General features: G+C 43.6%; 1 protein-coding gene across 6 annotated transcripts in view, besides 3 other annotated features; it reads right to left on the bottom strand.

Moving 5' to 3' along the window:
* Positions 1-24560, bottom strand: part of LRIG1 (leucine rich repeats and immunoglobulin like domains 1) — a 122325-nt gene that overhangs the window by 78294 nt on the left and 19471 nt on the right. For all 6 annotated transcript variants that reach the window (NM_001377345.1, XM_047447939.1, NM_001377344.1 and 3 more), the window contains exon 2: positions 5348-5419. Coding sequence is in view for 4 of the 6 variants with exons in the window: in XM_047447939.1 (XP_047303895.1) it covers positions 5348-5419 (72 nt within the window). In the remaining 2 variants the exon portion in view is untranslated. The remainder of the gene's footprint in view (positions 1-5347; positions 5420-24560) is intronic.
* Positions 6059-6203: an enhancer, noted in NCBI's record as "145 bp enhancer 188 fragment used in the MPRA reporter construct; PK_construct_2243". NCBI's record gives its function as "activates an SV40 promoter by MPRA in HepG2 cells {active_cell/tissue: HepG2}" and the evidence as "EXISTENCE:reporter gene assay evidence [ECO:0000049][PMID:23512712]".
* Positions 6125-6138: a transcriptional cis regulatory region, noted in NCBI's record as "HNF4 motif; enhancer activity is reduced when this motif is scrambled". NCBI's record gives its function as "necessary for full MPRA enhancer 188 activity {active_cell/tissue: HepG2}" and the evidence as "EXISTENCE:site-directed mutagenesis evidence [ECO:0005528][PMID:23512712]".
* Positions 15391-15440: a silencer, noted in NCBI's record as "silent region_14504". NCBI's record gives its function as "represses an Ori minimal core promoter by ATAC-STARR-seq in GM12878 lymphoblastoid cells {active_cell/tissue: GM12878}" and the evidence as "EXISTENCE:reporter gene assay evidence [ECO:0000049][PMID:35858748]".

A 24560-nucleotide genomic window follows, 5' to 3' on the forward strand; every position in this document is an offset into this window, starting at 1 on the left:
AAACCACTGCTAAACCACTGCCTGCTGTTCTGCCAGCCTGTGGCTCCATTCTCAATGAGGGCTCCAGACTGAAGGCTCTATAAAGTTTGGGAGAGCTGACAGCGCCTGGGCAACACTGGAGACTGGTTAATTTTGAAGCAGTAGCATGTCAGCTACGATTTTTTTTCTTTTCTTCAATATCCTTCCCCACCTCCCCACCCCTCAACACCTAACAGCCTCTTTCTGTCTCCACGACTTTTTAGAATTCCCTTAGGGTAAGGCCTGGGTCTTTTATCAGTGAGAAGTTCTACTGTTCTAGGCAGCAGGGAATTCATCTCATCCATCTCACAGAACAGGGAGTGACACTAGGGATAGGAGGCACAATGGTAAGACATTCAACCAGTCAGCCTGCAAAGATTCATTTCTAAACAATGCACCCAGCTTGGAGGGCTGGGCAGTTCCAAACGTAGCAGGAGAGAAGAGGGATAATATTCAGTGAGCCTCTCGCATGTGCAAGGCCCTGTGCATCATCTTAATAACTACAGTAACACCAACAATGTGTTACGATGTCAATGTTACAGAAGAAAGAAAGCAAACGCTGAGGCACTAAGTAACTTGTCTAGGGTCTCAGGACCCTAGTAAGGGGCAGAACCAGAAATCAAACGTGAGTCTATTTGCTACCAAAATGAGAGTTTTTCCCACCACATCATATTGAATCCCTAAGATATGACCTCTGTCTTAACATCCCCCACACTCAGACGGTACTGTTGCCATAGATGGTGTGGACCAGGATTATACTGGAGAACATGGGTCAAGTTCTACCACTCACTAATCACGCAATTTCAGCCAAATCCCATGCCTCAGTTCCTCTTCATCTTCAGTTGACTGTGAGAGTTAAGATGAAGGATATAGGAATTTAAGGTAGTGCAGCCGCCAAGGTTAGCACAGGTTTTGAGTTCAACTCTCAGCTTTACCAACCATGTGACACTGTGCAAGTTTAACTTTTCTAAGTATCTGTTTCCTCTTCTGCAAAGCAGAGAAACTCCTTTTATTTTTATTACTTTTTTTCAGAGATGGGGTCTTGCTCTGTTGGGTGGAGTGCATGGTGCAAACATGGCACGCTGAAGCCTCAACCTCCTGGGCTCAAGCGATCTTGAGGCCTCAGCCTCCCAAGAACCTGGGACTACAGGCATGGGCCACTATGTCCAGCTAATTTTTTGTAGAGACAGGGTCTCACTTTGTTGCTCACGCTGGTCTCAAATTCCTGGGCTCAAGTGATCCTTCTGCACCCAGCTGAGAAAATGCTTACAAAGAAAATGTTTTAAGGGGCTGGGTGGAAAATGTTTTAAGGGGCTGGGTGTGGGGGCTCATACCTGTAATCCCAGCACACTGGGAGGCCAAGGCAGGCAGATCACATGAGGCCAGACTTCGAGACCAGCCTGGCCAACACGGCGAAATCCCATCTCTACTAAAAATACAAAAATTAGCTGGGCGTGGTGGTGCACATCTGTAATCCCAGCTACCTGGGAAACTGAGGCATGAGAATCACTTGAACCCAGGAGGTGGAGGCTGCAATGAGCTGAGGTCACGCCACTGCACTCCAGCCACGGTGACAGAGCAACACTCCATCTCAAAAAAAAGAAAGAAAGAAAATGTTTTATATCAGGCCAGGCGTGGTGGCTCATGCCTCTAATCCTAGCATTTTGGGAGGCCAAGGCGGGTGGATCACCTAATGTCAGGAGTTCAAGATCAGCCTGGCCAACATGGTGAAATCTCATCTCTATCTAAAATATAAAAATTAGCTGGGCACGGTTGCAGGCACCTGTAATCCCAGCTACCTGGGAGGCTAAGGCAGGGGAATCACTTGAACCGAAGAGGCGGAGGTTGCAGTGACCCAAGATTGCACTGCACTCCAGCCTGGGAGATAAGAGCGAAACTCCATCTCAAAAAAAAAAAAAAAAGATAATGTTTTATATCACAGAGTTGATGTTAGGGTTAAGTGATGTCGTATTCTCCAAAGGTTTATTAGCACACTGCTACAATTACTGTGACTGTTCCTAAGTGAGAAATATATTTTTGAGACTCATAACCAGTATCTCCAATGAAGGAAAGGTGGGAGTGCTCAGTTCTAGAGCTGGGTGGGACATAAACTCTAACAAGTGCTGAGTACAGGCTGCAGGTCACGGGAGCCAAATCAAATGAAAGGTAAAAGCCTGTCTAGGCAAGGAACAACAGGAACAGGGAGTTAGAACACCACTGAAAATGCTCACCAGAGCATGTACCATGCCTGCCCCTGATAGATAGGGGTCAGTGAGGGTTGAAACCATAAAAGGACCTGGCCTCTGGCCACGCACCCCTCCATCGTGCATGCCAGGCACAGTGGTCCTCAGCCTGTTCCCTTCTTGAGGCTCTGTACTTGCAGTGCTCCCTGTCCTCATCATTCACACCTGCTCACTCAGGACCTTCCTGATCACACTGTTTCCGTTATCAAGCCTCCAAAATTCTTCATACAAAAAATACTCCCACATTACTCTGTTCTATTTCCCCCATACCACTTATCTCCAATAAGTCTTACTGGTTTCCTTATTCAGTCCATGGCTTCCCTCAACTTAATGTAAACTCAGTGAGAGGAGAGGTTTGTCTGCAGGGCTGGAATTGGGTAGGGAGGGGCACAAAATTTAAGGGACAGCCAAAAACCCAGTCACGAGGACAAAGACTATATTAATGCAATATTTTTTAAATATGAAGATGAATGCAAAACAAAATTCATGATGAACAAAATATGAAAAGTTTAAATCAAGACAAAATCAGCAACAGCACCGTGTGAAGCCATCCTGGAACTGAAGGCAAAAGGAAAGAAATCAGTAATACTAATCCTATCTTGATCTAAGCTTTTTATATTTTACTCATCATTTTTTTTTTACATTCATTTTGACTTTCAAAATATTGTATCAAAATACCCTTTATCTTGACTGCTGAGTCTTTGGTGTCCCCATAAATTTTGCGCCTGTGTTGGGTGCCTCACTTGCCCCTCCCCAGTCCCAGCCCTATCTGTGTCCTGTTCACTCTTGTAGCCCCAGCACCCAGAATAGCTCCTGGACAGAGGAGATGCTCGAGTAAGTATTCAATGAAAGCTTGAATGATGCTAGAGGGAATTCTCCAATTTTGTCCAGTCCTAAAAGAAACCACTAAGTTTGGAGATGTACACAGAATTTGAATATATTCTAACCACAAGCATTAAAGACAGCTTGGATCAGGGAAAGCACTGGGTTACAAACCTAACAAGCTCCATGATGGCCTGGGTTTATCATCTTGGTGACTATGATGGGCTGAACTGTGTTCCCCTAGGGTCCATATGCTGAAGCTCTAACCCCTAGTACCTCAGCATGTGACTGCATTTGGAGATGGGGCCTTTGAAGAGGTGATGGGCCCTGATCCAATATGACTGGTGTCTTTATAAGAAGAGGAAATCTGGACACACACAGAGACACCATGAATGCACACAGAGGAGAGACCACGTGAGGGCACAGTGCAAGGCCTCGGAAGAAACCAAACCTGCCAGTACCTTGATCTTGGACTTCCTGCTTCCAGACTGTGAGAAGATGAATTTCTGCTGTTCAAGGCACCCAGCCTGTGCTATTTGTTTGTTATGGCAGCAGCCTTAGCAAACTAACACAGTGACCCACTTCAAACTTCCTTTCCCCTGCCATGGACTCACTGATCCTCTGGGAGAATGAGAGTCCTAGAGAAACCATTTCCAAGGCCCCTTCCTGTTCTGATGCTTCTTTAACTGTGGAAGCCTAAACCTTTTTTAAACAGAAGCAGAAATTATAAACGCCAATCTGGAGAATCTGGAGATGAGGGTTTGGAATGCAAGTATTTTGCAAATTGTACCAGCTGATGAAATTAAAATTTCTTTAGATATGTCATCAATAATGGAATCAAAGAATAACAAGTAAGCCTGGGTGCAATGGCTCACACCTATAACCCCAGCACTTTGGGAGGCCAAAGCAGGAGGATCACTTGAGGTCAGGAGTTCAAGACCAGCCTGACCAACATGGCGGAACACCATCTCTACTAAAAAAATTAGCTGGATGTGGTGGCACACACCTGTAGTCCCAGCTACTCACAAGGCTGGGGTGTGAAAATCACTTGAACCCGGGAGGCAGAGGTTACAGTGAGCTGAGATCACGCCACTGCACTCTAGCCTGGGCAACAGAGCGAGACCCTGTCTTAAACAAACAAACAAACAAACAAAAAACAACAAATAAGACTTTTATCAGTTACTCATAACAAAAATGGGTAAAAAACTTACCTAATAATGTCTAATAAAAATAATAATGAAGTACTGGGTAGGTAATATATGAAATATCCACGTATAGTAGTTTTACATAAAAGCTAAAACAGGACATTCAAAAACTTTTAATTTACATGATAAAGTATCTTATGTAAGGATAAGTAGGAAAGACTGATATAAAACCACAATGTACAGTTTGATCCTAAAATTACATATGTACATGTAATAGTTTTCACTAGGTGTTCACAATGGGTATGCCTGGGTGAGAATACTGGTGATTTTCATTCTTCACACGTTTCTGTAGTTGCCAATTTTTCTACAATATGTATACTACATATATGTGAAGGTTTCTATAAAGTCTCCATGAAACTAAAATTCCTGATAATCCTAACATCCACATCAAAAACAGAATGCATTAAAAAGAAGGAAAGACTGCAGCCTGATTTCCAAGACACTGCAAGGGACAGCAAGCCTAGAGCTCCAAAGGCAGTCATACCTAGCTCTGTTTGGAGGTGGAGAGGAACAGGTAAGCCTCTATAGTCCATCCTTCTATAACTTCACTTCCTGGGAAATACACGTTTGGTGGCTCACATGCCACTGTTGAGTGGGCTGATTAACCTGTAATCCCAGCACATTGGGAGGCCAAGGCGCGCAGATCACATGAGGCCAGAGTTCGAGACCAGCCTGGCCAACACGGCAAAATCTCATCTCTACTAAAAATACAAAAATTAGCTGGGCGTGGTGGTGCAGGAACTGTGAGAAAGTACCAGCCCAGGATGTGTCACTCCAGTTACAAGGCTTCCCACAATGGAGGGACTCTGCTATACACCCACCATGCGCCCAGGATTTCCAGGAGCTCTATGCCTACTGAATTGTAACACACCCTTCAAGAGCCTACAGTAAGGGAGAGATAAGCAGGAGTAGAATTCATCAACACAGTCCATACACAAATGTTCCTTCCTACAAGTTTACACTGCGGATCTAGGGGAGTGAGCGATGCTGCAATACAAGAGGATTTTCCCAAAGAGCTCTCCATCCTTCCATCCACCAGAGGTTTAGGGGGAGACTCACACTTCCTGTAGGTTCGGCAAGTCCTCAAAACCAGCAGGGTCAATCTCAGAGAGTTTGTTGTAACTCAGGTTTCTGGTAAAGACAGAGAGAGAAAAAAACGGAATCAACAACCTGGCATCATACCCAGAATTCAGAAATCTTCTCTTCTCCTGGCTCCCCCACCCTCAAATCCAAGCCCCCATCCCATGATCATGTATTAAGTAACCGTATTGATACTGAGATTTACAGACATACCCCCTCCCCACCTACATCCATAAATAAGGCACTCCAAGCAACTCTATGAAAACCCAAACGAATTTCTATCAGTATCATTTCACTATTTAACAACTTGGAAAGAAATTCTAAGGTAAACCAGCTCCCTACCTACATTAAGGTGTCCTGGTCCAAATGCTTTGCACCCTATCAAGTACAAGGCTATTCTTAACGGCATTTTTTTAAATTAATGTTTTAGTAGCATCAACATCAAGCAGCAGTAAAGGAGAAAAGGGAAAAAACCCCTTCATTGTCTAAACCAGTGGCTCTCAACCAGGGATGATTTTGCCCCCCAGAGGACACTTGGCAATGTCTGGAGACATTTTTGGTTGTCACAACTGGTGGCAGGGAGTGGGGGGTGTTACTGGCATCTGGTGGATACAAGCCAAAGATGCTGTTAAATATCTTACAATGCACAGGCAGCCCTGCACGACTGAGAACTGCGCGGCCCTAAATGTCAATCCTAGGATTCAGAGGTTGAAAAACCCTGGTCTACACAAGAGCTTAAGACTAAAAATTGCACAAATAGTCAAAGTTCAAGTGAGTGTTTAGAAAGTAAACACTGTAAGATCCTGAATCATAAGGCTACTTATGAACACAGTATTCCCACCTACACTGAATAAACCGGGAGGGACAGTCACACAGGAGAAAAGGGCCAGTTGCTGGAAATTCTTGTTCGTGTTAACCACAGGCAGGGAAAGCCTCACATGAGCAGCTTTCTCAAGATGATGGCGTCTGTGTCAATGGTTCAGAATTAAAACTCTCCCTGCTTCATAACCCAGCCATACCCTTAGAGGCGGACAAAGAGCAAGCTGGGCAACTATTCTGTTAGGGGACCACAATCTCAACCAGAGCAGCTTCATCTTTCAGGAACAGAAGCCACAAAGATGTGATCCAAATGGGCCCTAACTTTCTTTGCCAGAAAGTAATCTTTCCTTGCCTCCAAAGTCTACCCAGCCCCGTGTTTGCCAAAGAGGTTAACATTTTTCATCTCAGCTATTAATTCCACTCACACTACTGCCAATTAACAGTACGACTAATTTTGAGTTTAAAGTCTGTCTCAGAAAGTGTCACGTATTGTGGCAACAATCTTTTAAACTTACTCCAGAGACATTTCAATCAATACTAACCTAGAGCTGAGAGCCATTTCACTGTGAGCTCAGAGACGTTCATCTAAATAAAAGTCAAACTACACTTGAAACTAATGGCACTTCTGTATTCATGGGTACAGCCTGAATTAAAAGCAATTTGTCCAGAGATTATGTTACCATAAAGACTGAAGGTGGTAATGCTTTAAACCGCATATTGAACTCAAGTGTGAGCTTGTCTGTGCCTGGGGGTATTTGTTAATGGGTACCCAGAAATCCCAACTTAGACTTGAGAAAGAAAATCTAGAAATTGAGAGAATTCTCCCACATTAGAAAAAGGACTTAATAGACTGAGATTTTCTTCTATTTTGAGCAGATTATCATAAAAAGGGGGATGGAAATATTGTTTCTGGGTGTAAAGATACTGGGAGTTTACGATGACTGTAACTTTTGTATCATCATAGGTAACAGGAGTTGTGAAGCAGGAAGGGATATTAGAGAAATACTCAGAAACCACAAAGGCAAGAGCTTAGAGGACAAGCAAGTAAGAGAGGGCTGGTGAGCCTGCCCTGTGTGTAACAAGGCTGACACGGAAGTGCCTGCCGCACACCTAAAGGGGCATTTGCTTCTTGTCCCCCGAAACAAGGGCCAGTGCAGACCCGTCTTCTCAGAGGCTCACGATCTGAATTCATGTTTTGTTTGGCCCATTCAGGGTTGCTTTATTACTTAAAAAAAAAAAAAAAACTGAAAAGATTTCACATATCTGCAGGCCCCATTTGGCTTGAGGATCGCCAGTTTTTGCCTCTGATCTGGGCCACTGACTCTTGAGGCCATTAGGTTCAAAGGGAACATATGTTTCTGGCTTACACATGTGGCCTGGATAGAGCTAGGGCTCACCAGGTCTTACGCAATTAAACTGATGGCTCGGTTTGGGACTATCTGAAATGAGATAACTTCCCTCACTTCCCACCCAGCAAGTATCCAAAGTCTTCAGCAACTTGGTATAAAACCATTTAAGTCACAACACCCTTGGGTTTGTCTTTCCCTTAAAGAGCAGACAAAATGTATTCACATTTCAAAAATGTTATAAAAATTTTGCTTTTTAGGTAAGGCTACTTGAGCAAAGGGTCTTCCATTCCAGTACTATCTAGAAGCCTAGCAGTATCAGGACTTAACACTGAGATGCCAACAAGCAGCAACAGAGATGAACACACTTAGAAGTGGAAACGTTAAGTTTTCACGGGGTCAGCTGGAATTAACTAGAAAAGCCACCTATCAACATTCAAGTGTTAGGGTGCTACCCAGAAAGGGTAACTCTCCTCTCAGAGCACCTGTTGGCAAAAAAGAAGACAGCCACCAAGGCTCACGTCCCTTTCTGCTGTGGACAAGGGGCTGTTCTGGTTTTTAAGTCTGAGAAGCAAGTGGGCCTAAAGAGTGGAGCCAGCTGTAGATCCTCAATAGGTTTATTGGGAAATAAGGAAAATAGTTACCACATTCTCCCCAGGAACTACAATATGAAATAAAATCCTCAGAGACACTTTCTTGTTGGCCCAATTCAAGAAGACAAACTCTGAGCATAATTTTTTTTTTTTTTTTTTTTTTTTTGAGACGAGTCTTGCTCTGTCGCCCAGGCTGGAGTGTAGTGGCATGATCTTGGCCCACTGTGACCTCCACCTCTTGTTTTCAAGCAATTCTCCTACCTCAGCCTCCAGAGTAGCTGGGATTACAGGTGCCTGCCACCATGCCCGGCTAATTTTTTTGTATTTTTAGTAGAGACAGGGTTTCACCATGTTGGCCAGGCTGGTTTCAAACTCCTGACCTCAGGTGATCCACCTGCCTCAGCCTCCCAAAGTGCTAGGATTACAGGTGTGAGCCACCGTGCCCGGCCTGAGCATAATTTTTTTAATGTGGTAAAATACATATAACATAAAATTTGCCTTTGTAACCATTTTTAAGTGTACTCTTCAGTGGCACCGAGTACCTTCACACTGTTGTGCAACCATCACCACCGTCCATCTCCAGAACTTTAGAAGTTTCTCAACATCCCAAACTGAAAGTCTGTACTCACTGAACACTAGCTCCTCATTCCCCTCTGTCCTAGCCCCTGGCAACCACCATTCTACTTCTGTCTCTAAGAATCTGACTACTCTTAAGTACCTCATGTTGGTAGATTATAGAATATTTGTCCTTTTGTGAGTGGCTTAATTCACTTAACATAATGTCTTCAAGATTCATCCATGTTGTCACATGTGTCAGAATTTCATTTTTTTTAGAGACAGGGTCTCACTCTGTCACCCAGGCTGGAATGCAGTGGTGCAGTCATGGCTCACTGCAGCCTCAAACTCTTGGGCTCAAGTGATCCTCCTGTTTCAGCCTCCCAAGTAGCTGGGAGTACAGGCACACACACCACCACACCTGGCTAAATTTTACTTTTTTAGTAGACATGGTGGGGGGAGGGTCTCCCTATATTGCCCAGGCTAGTCTTGAACTCCTGGCCTGAAGCAATCCTCCCACCTCAGCCTCCCAAAGTGATAGGATTACCGGAGTAAGCCACTGCACCTGGCAGAATTTCATTTCTTTTTAAGGCTAACTAATATTCCCATGTATGTATATACCACATTTTGTGTATCCATTCATCACAGATGACATTTGGGTTGTTCCTCCTTTTGGCTATTGTGAATGATGTTGCTATCAACATTGCCATTTTTTTTCCAAATTTTTAAAATTACTTAGTTTTTTCAAGACTTTTCACTGCTTACTGATAACACGCATTTCTCAGTAATTAAGAAAATACACTTAGCCCAAGAGCTCTGCAGCAAGCAGCGTGAATTCCCATCTGAGATCCCAAGAACAATCAAAGAGTTAATCAGTGAAAATCTTTAATGAGGCCTTTCTTTCAGGTGGCAGCTGACATGCACACACATCTAAAGCATCTCACTTATTTCTATGAACACGATCGCCCTGTACCAGGCCTGACATCTGAATGTGTCTTCAGTTGAAGGTTTCAAATTCTCCTGTCAAAACAATTCATCTGTCAGTAGGAAAGATGCTGTCAAAAGCATTTCTGCACCTTTCAGTAGCAAAGAGGAGAGGAAAGAAACCTCGGAGAATTTAGTTACTGCCAATTGCAGCTTTAATTAAACATTCTGTCAGCCATTGTCATAACACAAATTTTCCCTGCTCTTGCACAAAGGGTGCGCAGATCTCTGAACAACTGAGCCCAGCAATAGATGTTCTTTCAGCTAATCTGCTGAAAGATGACCGTTCAGCCCACCGTTCGCTGAACACACAAGAGGCACCTCTGCAGAGGACAGCTCAAGTTTTATCCAGGCGTGTCTGAAAAGCAAACTGTTTACCAGTGCACAACAACAGTTTGCTCGCTGAGCACGTTTCCTAACAAGTCCCCTTGCCCCAACCCCAAGGAATCCGAAGAGCTAAAGTCCTTCAATAGCTGCAAAATCCCCACCACTATCTAAATCTGTGCTGTCCAATTTAGTAGCCACTGGCTATTTACATGTATATTTAAATGAAATTAAAATTACATAAAATTAAGAATTCAGTTCCTTGGCCACACTAGCTATTTTTTTTTTTTTTTTTTTTTGAGATGGAGTCTCGCTCTGTCGCCCAGGCTGGCGTGCAGCGGTGCATCTCCGCTCACTACAAGCTCCGTCTCCTGGGTTCACACCATTCTCCTGCCTCAGCCTCCCCAGTAGCTGGGACTACAGTCACCTGCCACCACGCCCAGCTAATTTTTTGTATTTTTTAAGTAGAGACAGGGTTTCACCGTGTTAGCCAGGATGGTCTTGATCTCCTGACCTCGTGATGTGCCCGCCTCGGCCTCCCAAAGTGCTGGGATTACAGGCGTGAGCCACCACGCCCAGCCCACATTAGCTATATTTCAAGTGTTCAACAGTACCACGTGGCTAGTGGCTATCAAAATGTACAATGCAGACAGAGGTTATTTCTATCAGCACTGAAATTTCTATTAAACTGTGCTGTGTCTGAATTACAAAATAACCAACGAATATATCTATATCATGAAATAATCCACAAACATTTCAAGTTAAATGTCACCTACAGAAGCAACTTGAATCTAAAACACAAATCTGAGCTACCCAATAACTCGAGAACTATGTAAAAGGCTGTGGTGAGGGATGGACACTGATATTAACACAAGTCCTTTGAGCACACAAAAAGTTCTGAACCATCTCAACAAGGGAAAGAGCCTTCAAAAACTGAAGTTATGAGGAAGACATTCTTAATAAAAACTGCCCTCAGAGTATAATTCTATAGGCTTAAACGGTATTTATCTAATCTGACAAGCACCTTCCTGGATTACAACCAGAACCACATATTACAAACTTGGCAAATGTTATTCAAAGCTGGTGAACAGTAATTCATTGACTCCTTGGAAGTTGAGGGATAAAAAGTTGTTTACTTTTGAGTAAGCTGTGGTGAGGAAACAACCCCACTTCGTTAGACAACAGAATTATCACTTCATCCCCAAAAGCAAGCATTGCTCACAGACCACTGACGAACACAGACAAAATCTCTCACTGTGAAGAGGAGCGCAACCCATGGCTCCATTTTTCAACATTAACAGAATAATTCAAAGTGGAAGGAATTGGTCCTAAATCCGTGACAAGCATTCCCTGAAGAATGAGGTTTTCATACTTGGTTTGGTTTCCAGGCTAGCCTATTTCCCATTACTCAATTCTGTCTGGACTCCTGAGCGCCACAGTATTTTGCATATTTTAAGCTTTCAGATGTTTGCTAAACTGCATTAATACAGCTGGAAAGTAAGTGTGAGGCAATCCAACAACCCAACTTCTGAGCACCAGTGGGCACCCAGCTCTGGCCTGGGAGCCGTGGGCTCTGGCGATTCATCTCTTTCTCAACCTCAGAACGTGCACTGTCAGCCACTCGTTAAAAAATTGCCTGCTTGGGACTCACCAGAAAAAGGTGGAAAAAGGTGATTCGTCCTTTCAAAATTTCAGCGGGTGCAAATAAGGAAGAACATGCAACAATGTTTAAGTTATTTAATCCTTTAAGCTTTTAAGACTGTTTCTGCTGCATTTTTACTTTCTGAGGAATTACATAGTACACATCAAGCTCCAATGAAATCACCACATTATGTTCCCATGTTGTAAGGTTTTATAAAAGAGAATAAGACTTCGTTCAAATCCCAGAATATTAGATGTTCTTACCTTTTTTTGTATTGTGATGCTTCCCCTTGTTAACCAAAAACCACAACTGAACAAGCGGATAATGCACATTAAAGGCTTATATTAAGATGACAAAATTGTATCTTGAACTGGAATCATTCCTCTAGTATCCTATCCAAGGATCTCCACTCAGGAGAAGGTTCTGTACTTGCTGCTACCTCTCTTCAGTAAGCTAAGCAGCCACATATTCCCTATGGCAAAAGAACATATTCTGCAAATAATCAAATGAAAAAAATCACTCAGATCTCAACATGATACAAATAGCTCATTTTGTAAGCTTTTGGGCAGTTGTATCTCACAAAGTCAGTAATGAGTCACCAGTTATTTCCATTTCTGAAAATTTTACATAGACCATTATCTATGCAAATAAGGGAAACCTACAGTGACTCAAAATAGGAGATACTATATACATACAGCTATATATGGACCCAGACTCATTGCCTATTTTTACTCCTTAAAAATCAGCTATAATAATCAGTGTGGGCCTCTGAAGTCTAACGCCCGTGACGTTAACTGAGAGAAGAAACTCATGCCTACCTCTGTGATCCCATAAGGTCTTACATGTGCTTCTCGGCCTTACTAGTTCACACATGTCATCCTGGTCTGTAGCTAATTTGAGTACAAGTCTACATCTTTTCCCTCTAGCACCCAACAAATGTCAAATTTGACAAATATTTATTGTCTACAAGGTATACTGCACTGTGATAAACTGATAACAAATTAGGATAAGATCTAGTCTGTGACTTGAAGTGGTTTACAACCCACTGGTCAAGTTAAGACTCCTGGCCGGGTGTGGTGGTTCACGCCTATAAATCTCAGCACTTTCGGAGGCTAAAGTCGGGGAATCACTTTAGGCCTGGAATTTGAGACCAGCCTGGGCAACATAGTGAGACCCTGTCCCTACCAAAAAAAAAAAAAAAAAAAGAATACTGACCAAATAACACAGCCAAAGGCTCTGACACTTGCAAGCATTCTGTAATGGTAGATCAGTAGCTACAAATTGGTAGTTTGTGGGTACAAAGCTGGGCTGCAGGGAAACTTGCTTGTTTCTGACTGAACAGTGTTGGTAGAAACCTAAAGTTTTCACCAAAAACTAAAGTTTCAGCTTTTCTTGAAAATAATCGGAGGGCCAGCATTCCTAACAGAAACAATCAACTACATGCATTTACCAAGCATTCCAATGACCACAGACCTCACCACTCCTTATTGTCTCACCCATGCCCTCTTTATTCACCGGCAGTATCTTCCCAGCCCGAGATCTGAGTTTGTCATCCCTAGCATGGATAACATGAATGAAGGCCAGATGGCGTCCAGAGCAGGAAAGATCAGCTGTAATGAGAAACGTTTATTGAAAATGCAAGATTTCAGCTAAGCCTAGAAGAAGAGCATGTTTTTTTGAAGAGGAGTCCTGGGAAACGAGGCCAGAAAAGTAAAATAAGGAATGGAGGGCATGGAGTAAAATAAGCAAACAAAAAGGCCAAGAAGTCAGGACCTCCTAGAAAGGAAAGGGCAAGACACAAATGGTTTTACAGCAAAGTTGAGAAGAATAGCCCCATGCTGCCAGACCCACAACCCACCAGGCGGTTAAGTCAAGGGTTATATAAACCTTAGCAAACCCCAGTGCCAGGTCCCTCACGAACATTAATCTATGGGGCCATTAAAGTTGATTTCCATAAGAACAGAGTATCGCCTTGTTCATTTACTTAAAAGTTCTGAACTAGATAATCAAGAGGCCCAATTTGTTTTCTCACCATCACTGAAGGCAGTTAGCATTTGCTTTCTATACTACCCCTTAAAATGGGAGATTCTAGGATCTTTCCTACCAAAAATCTTAGTTTGGCCAAAAAGAAACAAAATAATTAGCTATAATGGGTTTTGTTTTGTTTTACTTTAAGCAGTCTCATCTTTAGTGCAGTTTAGTACTGAGGAAAGCCCACAAATTTCCCATAATAGTCTCTTGTTAATATGGTATGTGCATCATTAACCCCTAAAGATTAATTAATTTAATTAAGAAGAGGCGCTCCAACACACCAGCTCTGCAGTTGGTGGGGACTTTACAAGCAAAAGGAATTTGGGCAGGGAATAGCTGCTGCCAGAGGCTGACCCTCCCACAGACCTGCCACAAAGGGAATATCACCATGGCCACCCCAGCAGGCAAGAGGTGCCTACAGCCACCATTTGGCTTTGCTATTAGAGAAGTGCTTTGCAGAGGCTTGGAAATGGGGAGCGGGAAGAGATGGGTCAGAAGTCTGGTCATTCAGGATCGCCTATTCTCTACTTTATCATCTCCAAAAAGAAACACTAATTCACTAACTTTCACATAGTCCTTAAGCTCTACAGGACTTGGCAAACTCATCACCTGCACAATAGCCCCCCTATCCTCACCCCATCCAGTAACAGAGCTGAATCTTTACCTCCTGGGAGCCCAGTCATTCTGCAGAACAGAGGGGGGTTGGAACCTTGGAGCCAGGTGCTCCCTGCTCCCACTGAACTCTTCCCCGAGGTGCCCTGACAGCCTAGGGCCCCAGCCGCTGCAGGGAGAGCAAAGGCTCATCCATCCCAACCAGCAGGGACGGAGGGCATGGCGGGGATGAAGGGCGGCCAGAGGTAAAACCCAGAGGTTCTCTCAGTTAAAGGATGGCAGAGGGTTCTCATAAATGAAAACCACGCTCTACTGCGGCAGAAAACGGAGACTTTTGCTTCTGGAGTACTGAAAACAAGTCAGGCAAAAGGGACAGGAAATATGGGATGGGTAAAACTGAGAAAAAGGACACATTAACCTGGTGGATACATTTGGAATCCCAGGTTCACCAAGTGCTTTGTAAAGTCCACCAAAGCTTCTCTGGTCACGGATTACTGTTTTCCTTTCCTAAAACTTCCACCTTTACCCCTCCACATCCGCCCCTGGCCCCTGCTAAATGTCCACTTTCAGGAGACTGATTAGCTTCCTATGAAACCACCAATGCAAAATCCAGGGTGTTTCTGAAAATGTGATGCAGCTTTAAAATTCACTAACTTCGGGCCAGGCGTGGTGGCTCATGCCTGTAATCCCAGCACTTTGGGAGGCCAAGGCAGGCAGACCATGAGGTCAGGAGATCAAGACCATCCTGGCTAACACGATGAAATCCCATCTCTACTAAAAATACAAAAAATTAGCCTGGCGTGGTGGTGGGCGCCTGTAGTCCCAGCTGCTGGGGAGGCTGAGGCAGGAGAATGGCGAGAACCCGGGAGGCGGAGCGTGCAGTGAGCCGAGATCACACTACTGCACTCCAGCCTGGGTGACAGAGCAAGACTCTGTCTCAAAAAAAAAAAAAAAAAAAAAAAAAAAAAACACTAACTTCGGATGGTCACAGGAAAGATGCAAACTAACAAGGAAAGCTTCTTCGACTGCCATGTGCCACACAACAGAATTGCGTAAACTTTGGCACAGTCACCACCCGTAAGTGATGCTGTGATGAATCTCCTGTTCCGATACACTGAAATGATTCACCACTTAACGGTGAGTGATTTTACACACTACACGCTCACACCTAAGGGCCCTGAGATGAACCCTGCTATCAAAGAGCAAAATACCTGTTTTAACACAGGCCCATAAAATTGCTCCTGGTCATGAGAGCAGGGTGGCCAAATTCCAAGCCTGCCTTTCCGGCAGAAGGTACAACCACGGATTTCACTGGGATAAAGTGATAAGAAAATTCTATAGCAGTGACTCTTGGTTCTTTAAGAATGAAACCTCCAATAATATATTACTTCCTCTGGGTGCGACAGACACAGATTAAAACATCAAAACAAAAAACCCCTTCCCTCCATCTGAGTCATTCATTACACACTATTCTAAACACTCTTGTCTAGGACTTTCCTAGGACCAGGAAAGGATCGGACATTTTGGGCCTTTTTAACTCTCATTTTGACAATTCACTCTCTAACATAATCCAATCAATGAAAATATTAGTACAAAAACCTCATGTTACAGAAATGTATGTCAGAAGATTAAAAAAAAAGCAAACTCAGTGGTGACTCACTTCTGGACGTGTAGTGATTAGGGGTTTTTGTTGTTTTTTAAAGAGACTGAGAAGGGCAATTTTAGGCAAATACCCTTCTGGGTTACAAAAGAGCAATGTATAGGTTTCCTATATGTCCTATTTGAAGAAGAAAATGAAAGTGGTTTGTTTTCAACAAATACATCTGCACAAACAACAGCTTACCTTAGTGCTACTGGCATCTCCTTCATTCCCCATCCACAAAAAATTTTAAGGGACAAATGACATAAGTGGGTGTAACTACCTTTCCAGGCTGGAGCTGCTTGTAAGAAAAACCCTTCCTGGGAAGCCAGAAGTTCCCCAGAGTACGGGAGTCCTCTATCAGCCTCCACTGGAACTTACACACGTCCTTTATTTTTCAACTGTGTGACATCACACCCACAGCTCACTAACATCTCTGTGAGGTCTCCTGGTGCCTGTGCAAAGCCCAAGCATCCAAAATCTATAAAGCTCATATAAAAATCCATGCTTACTTGCATTTGCCACAATGCTCGGCGTTACAAATGGATTAAGTACAAGGTTCCTTCCAATATTATTTTCTAGGTTTATCCTCTCTTTCTCAGCTGCCTCAAAACAATGCAGATCATACAAATACAGACAGCAGATCCCTGGTATTAAATCAGCCAAATTAGAAAAGCGAATTTACCCACAACTTTTCAAGAATACATCCGCTGTATTACAGGGAGGCACGCGACTATCTCTAGCTAAGTATTTTAAAGAAAACACACAGTTTTAAAAGGTCAGCCGTCTGGCCCACAGTGAAGTCACTGACTTTAATAGCTAGCTTATCGACTTGGGATCTCGTCCTGTTCACTTTTTCCACTGGGCTTCTTAAAGTTTACGTGTGTCATGAAATGCTTAGCTAAAGCCAAAAGGCTAAGTTTTTCTTTCTGCAGTACTAAGACGTCGTGAAACACTCTAAATTTAAAAGACCATCTACCACATCATTTTCCCTGTTTAGAGGCGTGGAGCAGTGATGATTTCCCTGGTTCTGGTTGTTGAAATGGCTGAGAAGACACGAAGTCAAGATTCAAAAACCACAAAGTATTTCAGCATGCATTATTGTACACAGACTATGCTGCTATTAAAACATGGAACTTCCTTTTCACTGAAATTACAAGCAGAAAATAGCAGATGCTGCATGCGACCTCCATCCTTGAACATACTAAAATTTTACTATGTCAAATGGAAAACTGGCTGTGAAAATGACTAGGCCACAACACACTTTTATTTCTTTTTTTTAAATCATTCGCCAAAGTCCCTAAAAACAATGCCTCACCTCTTCCACAAGGTCCATCTACGTTCTTTTTTTTTTTTTTTGAAATGGAGTTTCACTCTTGCCACACAGGCTGGAGTGCAATGGTGTGATCTCAGCTCACTGCAAACCCTGCCTCCCTGGTTCAAGTGATGCTCCTATCTCAGCCTCCTGAATAGCTGGGATTACAGGCGCCCGCCACTGCACCCAGCTAATTCTTGTATTTTTAGTAGAAACGGGGTTTCACCACATTGGCCAGGCTGGTCTTGAACTCCTGACCTCAGGTGATCCGCCCGCCTCGGCCTCCCAAAGTGCTGGGATTACAGGTGTCAGCCACAGCACCCGGCCCCATCTACATTCAATGTGGCTGGGTGCATCACCCCACCACACGCCTGTCCCCTCCCCAACCATCCCACTCCCATTTGCAGGTCCAGGTCATTTACTCACAAAGGATGTGTCTTACAGGGTGGACCCTAGCGGCAAATTCCACTTGCTAAACTGTATCTTAACCAAATAATGAATACTGGTACCTGTGGAATATGAGTTCTTTCTTTTAAAGCCAATCACCAGCAAAGGTGGTTAAGAGCCTTGTCAAAAGTCAATTATCAGTAAACTCTTTTTGGAGTTTCAGTTACAGGCAGAAATCTAAGAAACACCATGTGTACTTCTAGGTACTCCACAGCCTCTCTGTGCACTAGAGAGAGACAAGAGCCATTCAATTCACAGAGCATCTTCACATCCAAACAGAAAATCCAAGCCCACTGGTCATACCAAATTGAGACATCCACAAGATCAGCTACATTGAGGCAGCTGCCCTATGAAAACAGCTAGGACTTAGCCTAACACTTGCTATATAACGAACACACAATCTCCCAGGTTCTACCAATCACTCCTTTGACAAATCGAGGTTTGTCAAAGTCTCTGCCTAGCCTGTCCTAAATCAAGTGACTCCAACATGACTTCCCTCCAATAAACATGCTATCATTGGTAGGGAGGTAGAAGGGTGGAGAATGACTTGCGTCTGCATACTGCACACTAACAAAATTAAGTGGGTTTTGTTCTATGCCCTGAGATATAGGGAACCAAACAAAAGGTGGTGGTTGGGGGTGAGAGCAGTTTGCTGGAAAAGGCAGGCACTCAGCTATCAGATGCAACCTGTACTCCAGCTAAGTCTCCCCAAACTGGCTTTCCTTTCTCCTTACTCCCCACCACACTCAGTCCTGAAATATTATCAAAGTAAATAAAAGCTGTTCCAATCCCAGGTCTAGTCCGCATGGCTACACAAACATGACTCTGCGAAACTGTGCTGACAACTGCGTTTACTTGTGGCAAAGTGAACCAGGATCAATAAGCCAAAGTGGCTTTAGATTTGGTTAGGTTTAAGCTCACATAAGCACAGGGAGAAAACCATCCACTCTCAAAGAACTAGTGCAGAAAGCACCTGCACAAACTCGTCAGGATGGTTTATAAGGTCACAAGCACCTGAGAAAAGATCGTTTATTCCTAGGGGCATGAGACAAATGGTAGGCCTGCCCGTCACACTACTAGTGTCAATATTTATCTAAGGCCTGGGTATTCACGATGGTATAAACCAGGCACCTTTTCAATTCAGTTATTCACGTAATTCGCCACTACAAAGCCCCAAAACAGAGATTCTTTACAGCTTGATTTCTTTTCTTCCATTTCCATACACAGGGGGCTGGCTGCAGGACCCATGGTCTATGTCAGCAATAATCCCTGCAGCCTGGGAATAAAGCGTACAATGTATTTCAGAACTACCTATATCAAATGGCATTGCAACTGAGGACAATGAAGAGGTGGGGAAGGGAGACAGAGCACCTGCTTTCTTCCTTCCCATGGCAAGCATGTTTTCCTCACTCGAAATGCGCAGAGATTAAACCCTGTAGTAAAGTAAATGAACCCCAAGAGTCACACCTAGGCATGTCTAAGTGTGACTTACACTGCAGGATTAATTCAGCAACCAATACCCAAAGGTATGTGAAGCTCAAATAGCCCTGTCTGGCCAGTTCCAATTCTCTCCAACTCCTTAATCCTTCACCCCTTCCTCCCTTAGCCTCTCCTCTCCCCCAGATAAGGGCCTAATCACAATTCTCTTTCCCAGGTAAAAGTCAAAAGAAATAAGTAGTCCATTAGTATCAACTTTAAGAGGTCCAAGAGACCTCTGAAAAACAGCTGTGGAAACCAGGTTCACAAATGGATTTCTCCAAGTCTCTTCCTATCTCTCAAAGTCCTCAAATCCCCTTTTTCCAAGATGCCACACTGCAGTTCCTCAGTCAAATCTGCTGGCCTCTTCCTGCGAGACACACTGCTGTGTAAATCAAAGCACTAGAAAAAGATGGCTGTCTCTCCAGGGTCACATTAAAGAACCTGCCTCAAAACACTCTTTAAAAGTTGCTGGCTGAGTGACATTAAATGGATTTCTCAAGCCAGCTTTCTATAATTCACTAAACCTAGTTTTCTGATTCCATACGCAGGATTCTTCCCAACTACACTGGTATCTATACCAAAATCCTCATGAGGACTCTGGATCCTCTGTGCAGCCCGGTAGGGATCATCCTACTTATACATCCCAGCAGGCTGCAAAACACTTCCGTTCCCTTCAAAGTGAAATTGTGATGGCAACTGATGCACTGTGACGCACGACACACATGTGGTCTGTGAGGAGCAGGCATTCCTATCTCTGCTTTAAATACGTCTGTTGAGTGAGAGCAGGCAAGAACTGAGCCCAAAATGGTAGCAGCTGAGGGTGTGGTCAGTTTTATTTTTTTCTTACATAAAAATATACTTAAGCAGCCAGTATTTCCTCACACACGCTGAAGTTAATAATTCACAAACCAACTAACATTCATCAAGGATCAGAAAATTTAAAGGTTGTTTGCACAAACACTCCTGTTCTTGCTCTTACTTAACAGCTGGTTTTTTTAACTGATGGCTGCTGTTGCCATTAGGGCCAGGTGGCACTTCAAAATGTTATTTCTTGAGCCAGACACACCACGACCCGGGTCATTTGCCCTCTGGATTCCACGGTATCCAAACTCCTGTGCTTAATGTTGCTTCTCAGACAAAACAGGTAATTCTGGCAAGGCAAAAATACAGGACAAGATGATCCTAGTTTGCTGGTAAAACATTGCTGTAATCATGCTCTTCCTTTTCTAATCTGGCCCCTCCAAATGGACAATCCCCAAAGATGCCAAGGCACAATGGAGCAGTAGGTAGGGCTGGAATAACCTCATCCAAGAGGCAAACTGTCTGGACTTCAGACCAAGATGTCTTATTACAAGGAGAAGATAAGTTTTTATACTTCAGTCATCCTCAAAAAGGAGGGCCCAATCCCCTCTCGCCTCAAACCTTATCCTTTCCACCTTTCTTCCTTTATCTCACTTAAGTTCATTCTCTCATTTTTAAAGATGTTATCATCAGAGCCAGAAATGTAAAATCACGCATAGGTGTGCTGGAGACACACCTATGGGGGAGGAAGAGGGGAGAGGAGGGGAGGTGATCTAATAAAGCCTTCTCCAGCAACTATTTGAGTGATGCACTACAGGATAGGAGTGGCCTGCTGTAGGATAGGAGGATTACCAAACAGATGTTGGTTGTTGTTTCGACCAAAAAAAATTAAACCTTGGGGGTATGAGTTAGCTGCAAAGCCATGGACTTGCTACAAACACACGACACACAGCCTGAGTTTGTGGGCCTGCAATGGCTTCAAGGCCGCATCAACATCTACATAAGTCTTATGAAAGAGGTTACACATTAACCACAGCACATCTCAAGGAAAATCCTATCACCTCCACCATCTCCACACCGTTTATTTGCCGCCTTTGAAAAGGACTTTCTGCACGTTGCTACCATGGAATTGGAAATAAATGGAGATAAATCCAGTTTTTGGTTCTACGTTTTTGCTTTTAATACACAACTAATTTCAGTGCATGTAGGTGGTCCTGAAAAGGTAACCAGTTAACCCCAATGGGGCAGAAAATAACAGTTAACTTAAGGGCAGATGTGTAGGACAGCCAACCCATGGTTATCTCGACAGGTGTGCGCAGGCAGGAGTTTCAGGGACATGAGAAAGCAGTGTCCTGGATACTATCAAGAAAGAAAACCCAACGGTAACTCACAGTTGGTTTGGAAATAAGCACACAGGTGTTTATTAAGCACCTGCTGCGTGCCAGGAGGACCACACAGGTCAATAAGGTAGGCTGTGCCTTCAGGGAGTCTGCCCTCACATTTAAGACTCCAAAGCAATTTCCTCCAACAGCTGTTTACAATGCAGATTCCCAGGCCCTGGCACCATAAACTCTGACTAGAGGACTAACAGAGGCTACCATGTCATTATTATCTCACTTGTCTATAGGCAGTTCAGCCCGCTGACCATCTCCCTAACTCATGGATCTCCAAGGGTCTCCACTGTACGGGTCAGCTTTTTTTTCCAGTATGTCCCCGCAGGCCTTTTCTCAAGCTCACCACCACCCTCCTGTCAGTTCATCTAGAATGGGACTAAGGAGTAAGAAATTAAAAACAAAACTCAGAAAACCTGACCCTCTACCCCCAGAGGCCTGCAGAGATTTAGTACTAACTCCCTGAGTAGCTCAATGAGCCATTTTCCTTCTGGTTTCTTGCTCTAAAGGAAACCACTGCAGGCCTCGGCTCCCTTTCCCATTAAAAGCCACCGGGGCCATAGTTTTCAATTAGCTCTGTCAGCCCATCACCCTGCAGCCGCCCAAGTTCAATACGTCCTCCCTTCCCCCAGCTTCTGGTCTCCACCAAGCACTTCACACCTCCCTATTGTAAACCTGTCCAGAGCAATTACCCTGCCTGCACTTGGACAGCCTCAATACTGCACTTCTGTCTAATTTATAGCTGCAAAGCTCCGTCGGCAAAGGCAGACCTGCCTCGGAACAGAGGAAATGCAGAGAAAACGGTCAGGCTCTTCCATAAATGCATATGCACAGCCAATTTCCTTAGGTTACAGGAGAGCAAATTCTCCCATTCTCCTAGGGACACTATGTAATAAGCTCCCCTAGAGCGTCTGTAGTCTGGATTCACTGCAAGGAAAACCACTGCTCTTTCCTGCCACATTTTCTTTTTCCCTTGAGATTCCAAACAGACGGGCAAGTTATGAGGCATTACACTTCTACCTGTAGATCTTCAAAGTCTTAAAAATAAAAACTCTTCTCGCCTGAGGAAGATAGAGAAAAGCACACTACCAACCAGGGGAATACCCCAAGCTGCTTGAAATTGTACTTTCTAAACATGCTCTGCTTACCACTGAGCAATAAAAAGACAAAGGACTCAGTTAAAATACGGGCAAAGAAACTGAATAGACATTTCTCCAAAGAAGATATACACATGGTCAATAAGCATATGAAAAGATGCTCAGTGTCATTAGTCATTATGGAAATGCAAATCAAAACCACAACACAAGATACCACAACACACCCACTAGGATGGCTAAAATTTAAAAAGACAGATAATAGCAAGTGCTGGTGAGGTAGTGCAGAAATGGGAACCTTCATACCCTGCTGGTGGATGTGCCACGTGGTGCACACAGCTTCTCCAGGAAACAGTCTAGCAGTTCCTCAAAAAGTCAAACATAGAATTGCCATATGACCCAGTAATTCCACTCCTCGGTATATGCCCGAGGTATATACTCAAGTGAAAATATACATTCACCACAAAAACTTACGCACAAATGTTCACAGCAGCATTGTTCATTACAGCCAAAAAGTGGAAATAAACAAAGTGTCCACCAACTGATGAGTGGATAAAGAAAATACAGTCTCTCCTCATGATGGAAGCATTCTTCAGCCATAAAAATTAATGAAGTACTGATACCTGCCATAATATGGACGAATCATGACAACACTGTGCTAAGTAACTAAGTAAAAGAAAGGGCCATATATTGCATGATTCTATTTATATGAATTGTCCAGAACAGACAAATCTATAGAGACAGAAAGTAGATGTTGCCGGGGGATGGGAGGAAGGAAGGATAGGCAGGGAGTGCTAATGGGTACAGGGTTTTATTTTGGGGTGATGAAAATGTTCTAGATTAGTAGTTACGCAAATCTACGAATATACTAAAAACCCAGAATCCTATCATTGAAAAGGATGAGTTTTGTGGTATTTGAATCACATCTCAAAAAAGCTATTTAAAAAAAAAAAAAGTCCTGTTGCCCACCTTAGCAGGCTCTCAGAATTCCAGACTGAAAATGCCACCTAGCTACTTCCATACCACAGAAATGCAGAAAGAACTGCCCCTCTACGTGCCAGGAGATAAATGAACACCCAAAAGAACACCCAGAAAGAACATCAGCTTCTGTGTGCTTCCCAGATTGTCCTATACTCGCTCCCAAGCTCTGTCCATGAGTCCATCAGATGCAGAAAACCTCAGCTAGAGTTTACCCTCCCACAGAAAACACATTCTTGGCATTTTGAAAGAGCATTTCTTTTCTTCCTTTGAGAAATTATTTAGCAAGGCTGTGGAAAGCAGGGCTCCCAGTGGCCATTCAAAAATTAAGACCAAGCCAGAAGGCAGGAGGAAATGTCACCACAATGGGGAGAAAATAAATCAGTTAGATTAAGATTAAGATCTAACCCTTTTCTGTGGTTGGGGCAGGCGGATTTGAGAATAATAGCATGCTATTTCTGGAAAGTCCCTCCAGAGTAAAAGCTGGGAGGGTGGGGGTGTGAAACTATATGTTTCAGTGTTAGATTAAAATTTGTTGAAGTTGATTGAAAACAGATAGAAATGGCCAACGGTCCCCCTGCCCAGCACAGGTATGCCAGTCCTCTGTGGCTGAGGTCCCTCTATATTTCAGACCACACCTCAGCACTGCCCTCGCCAGCAAAGATGCAGTTAAACGGGAAGGCCCAAAGTCTAATGGGGCCAGGATGCTACACAACATCAAAGAGATTCCAGTTGCTCCCCTTGCGCCATAAACTCTTTCACCCAACATCATTCACACTTTCAGAGTGCAAAGTTCACTCTGATATTGGTGGCTTTCTCACTTTGTAGCTTTTTTGGCAAGTGCCCCTTGGCCTGGTTGTTCATTAATATATAATCAGAACATTAAAAGCATTGTTTCACCTTCTAGGGAGGCTGTGCCCAATTTAATAAAGCCGACATTGTCCCTAGGGTGGGGGGAACCACCTCGAAATTGGCAGAGAATTCAAAGATGCACAGACCGGAGGGTTTATGTACACACACACACACACACACGTGTATACACACACGCATGCACACAGAATTAAGTATTTCAAAAGATGTTTTTTATATTCCCCATGGCAAAGGAGCAAAATTAAAATGCTTCTCACCACAGAAACTGACCT

This window comes from Homo sapiens, chromosome 3, assembly GCF_000001405.40.
Source record: "Homo sapiens chromosome 3, GRCh38.p14 Primary Assembly".
NCBI lineage: Eukaryota > Metazoa > Chordata > Mammalia > Primates > Hominidae > Homo > Homo sapiens.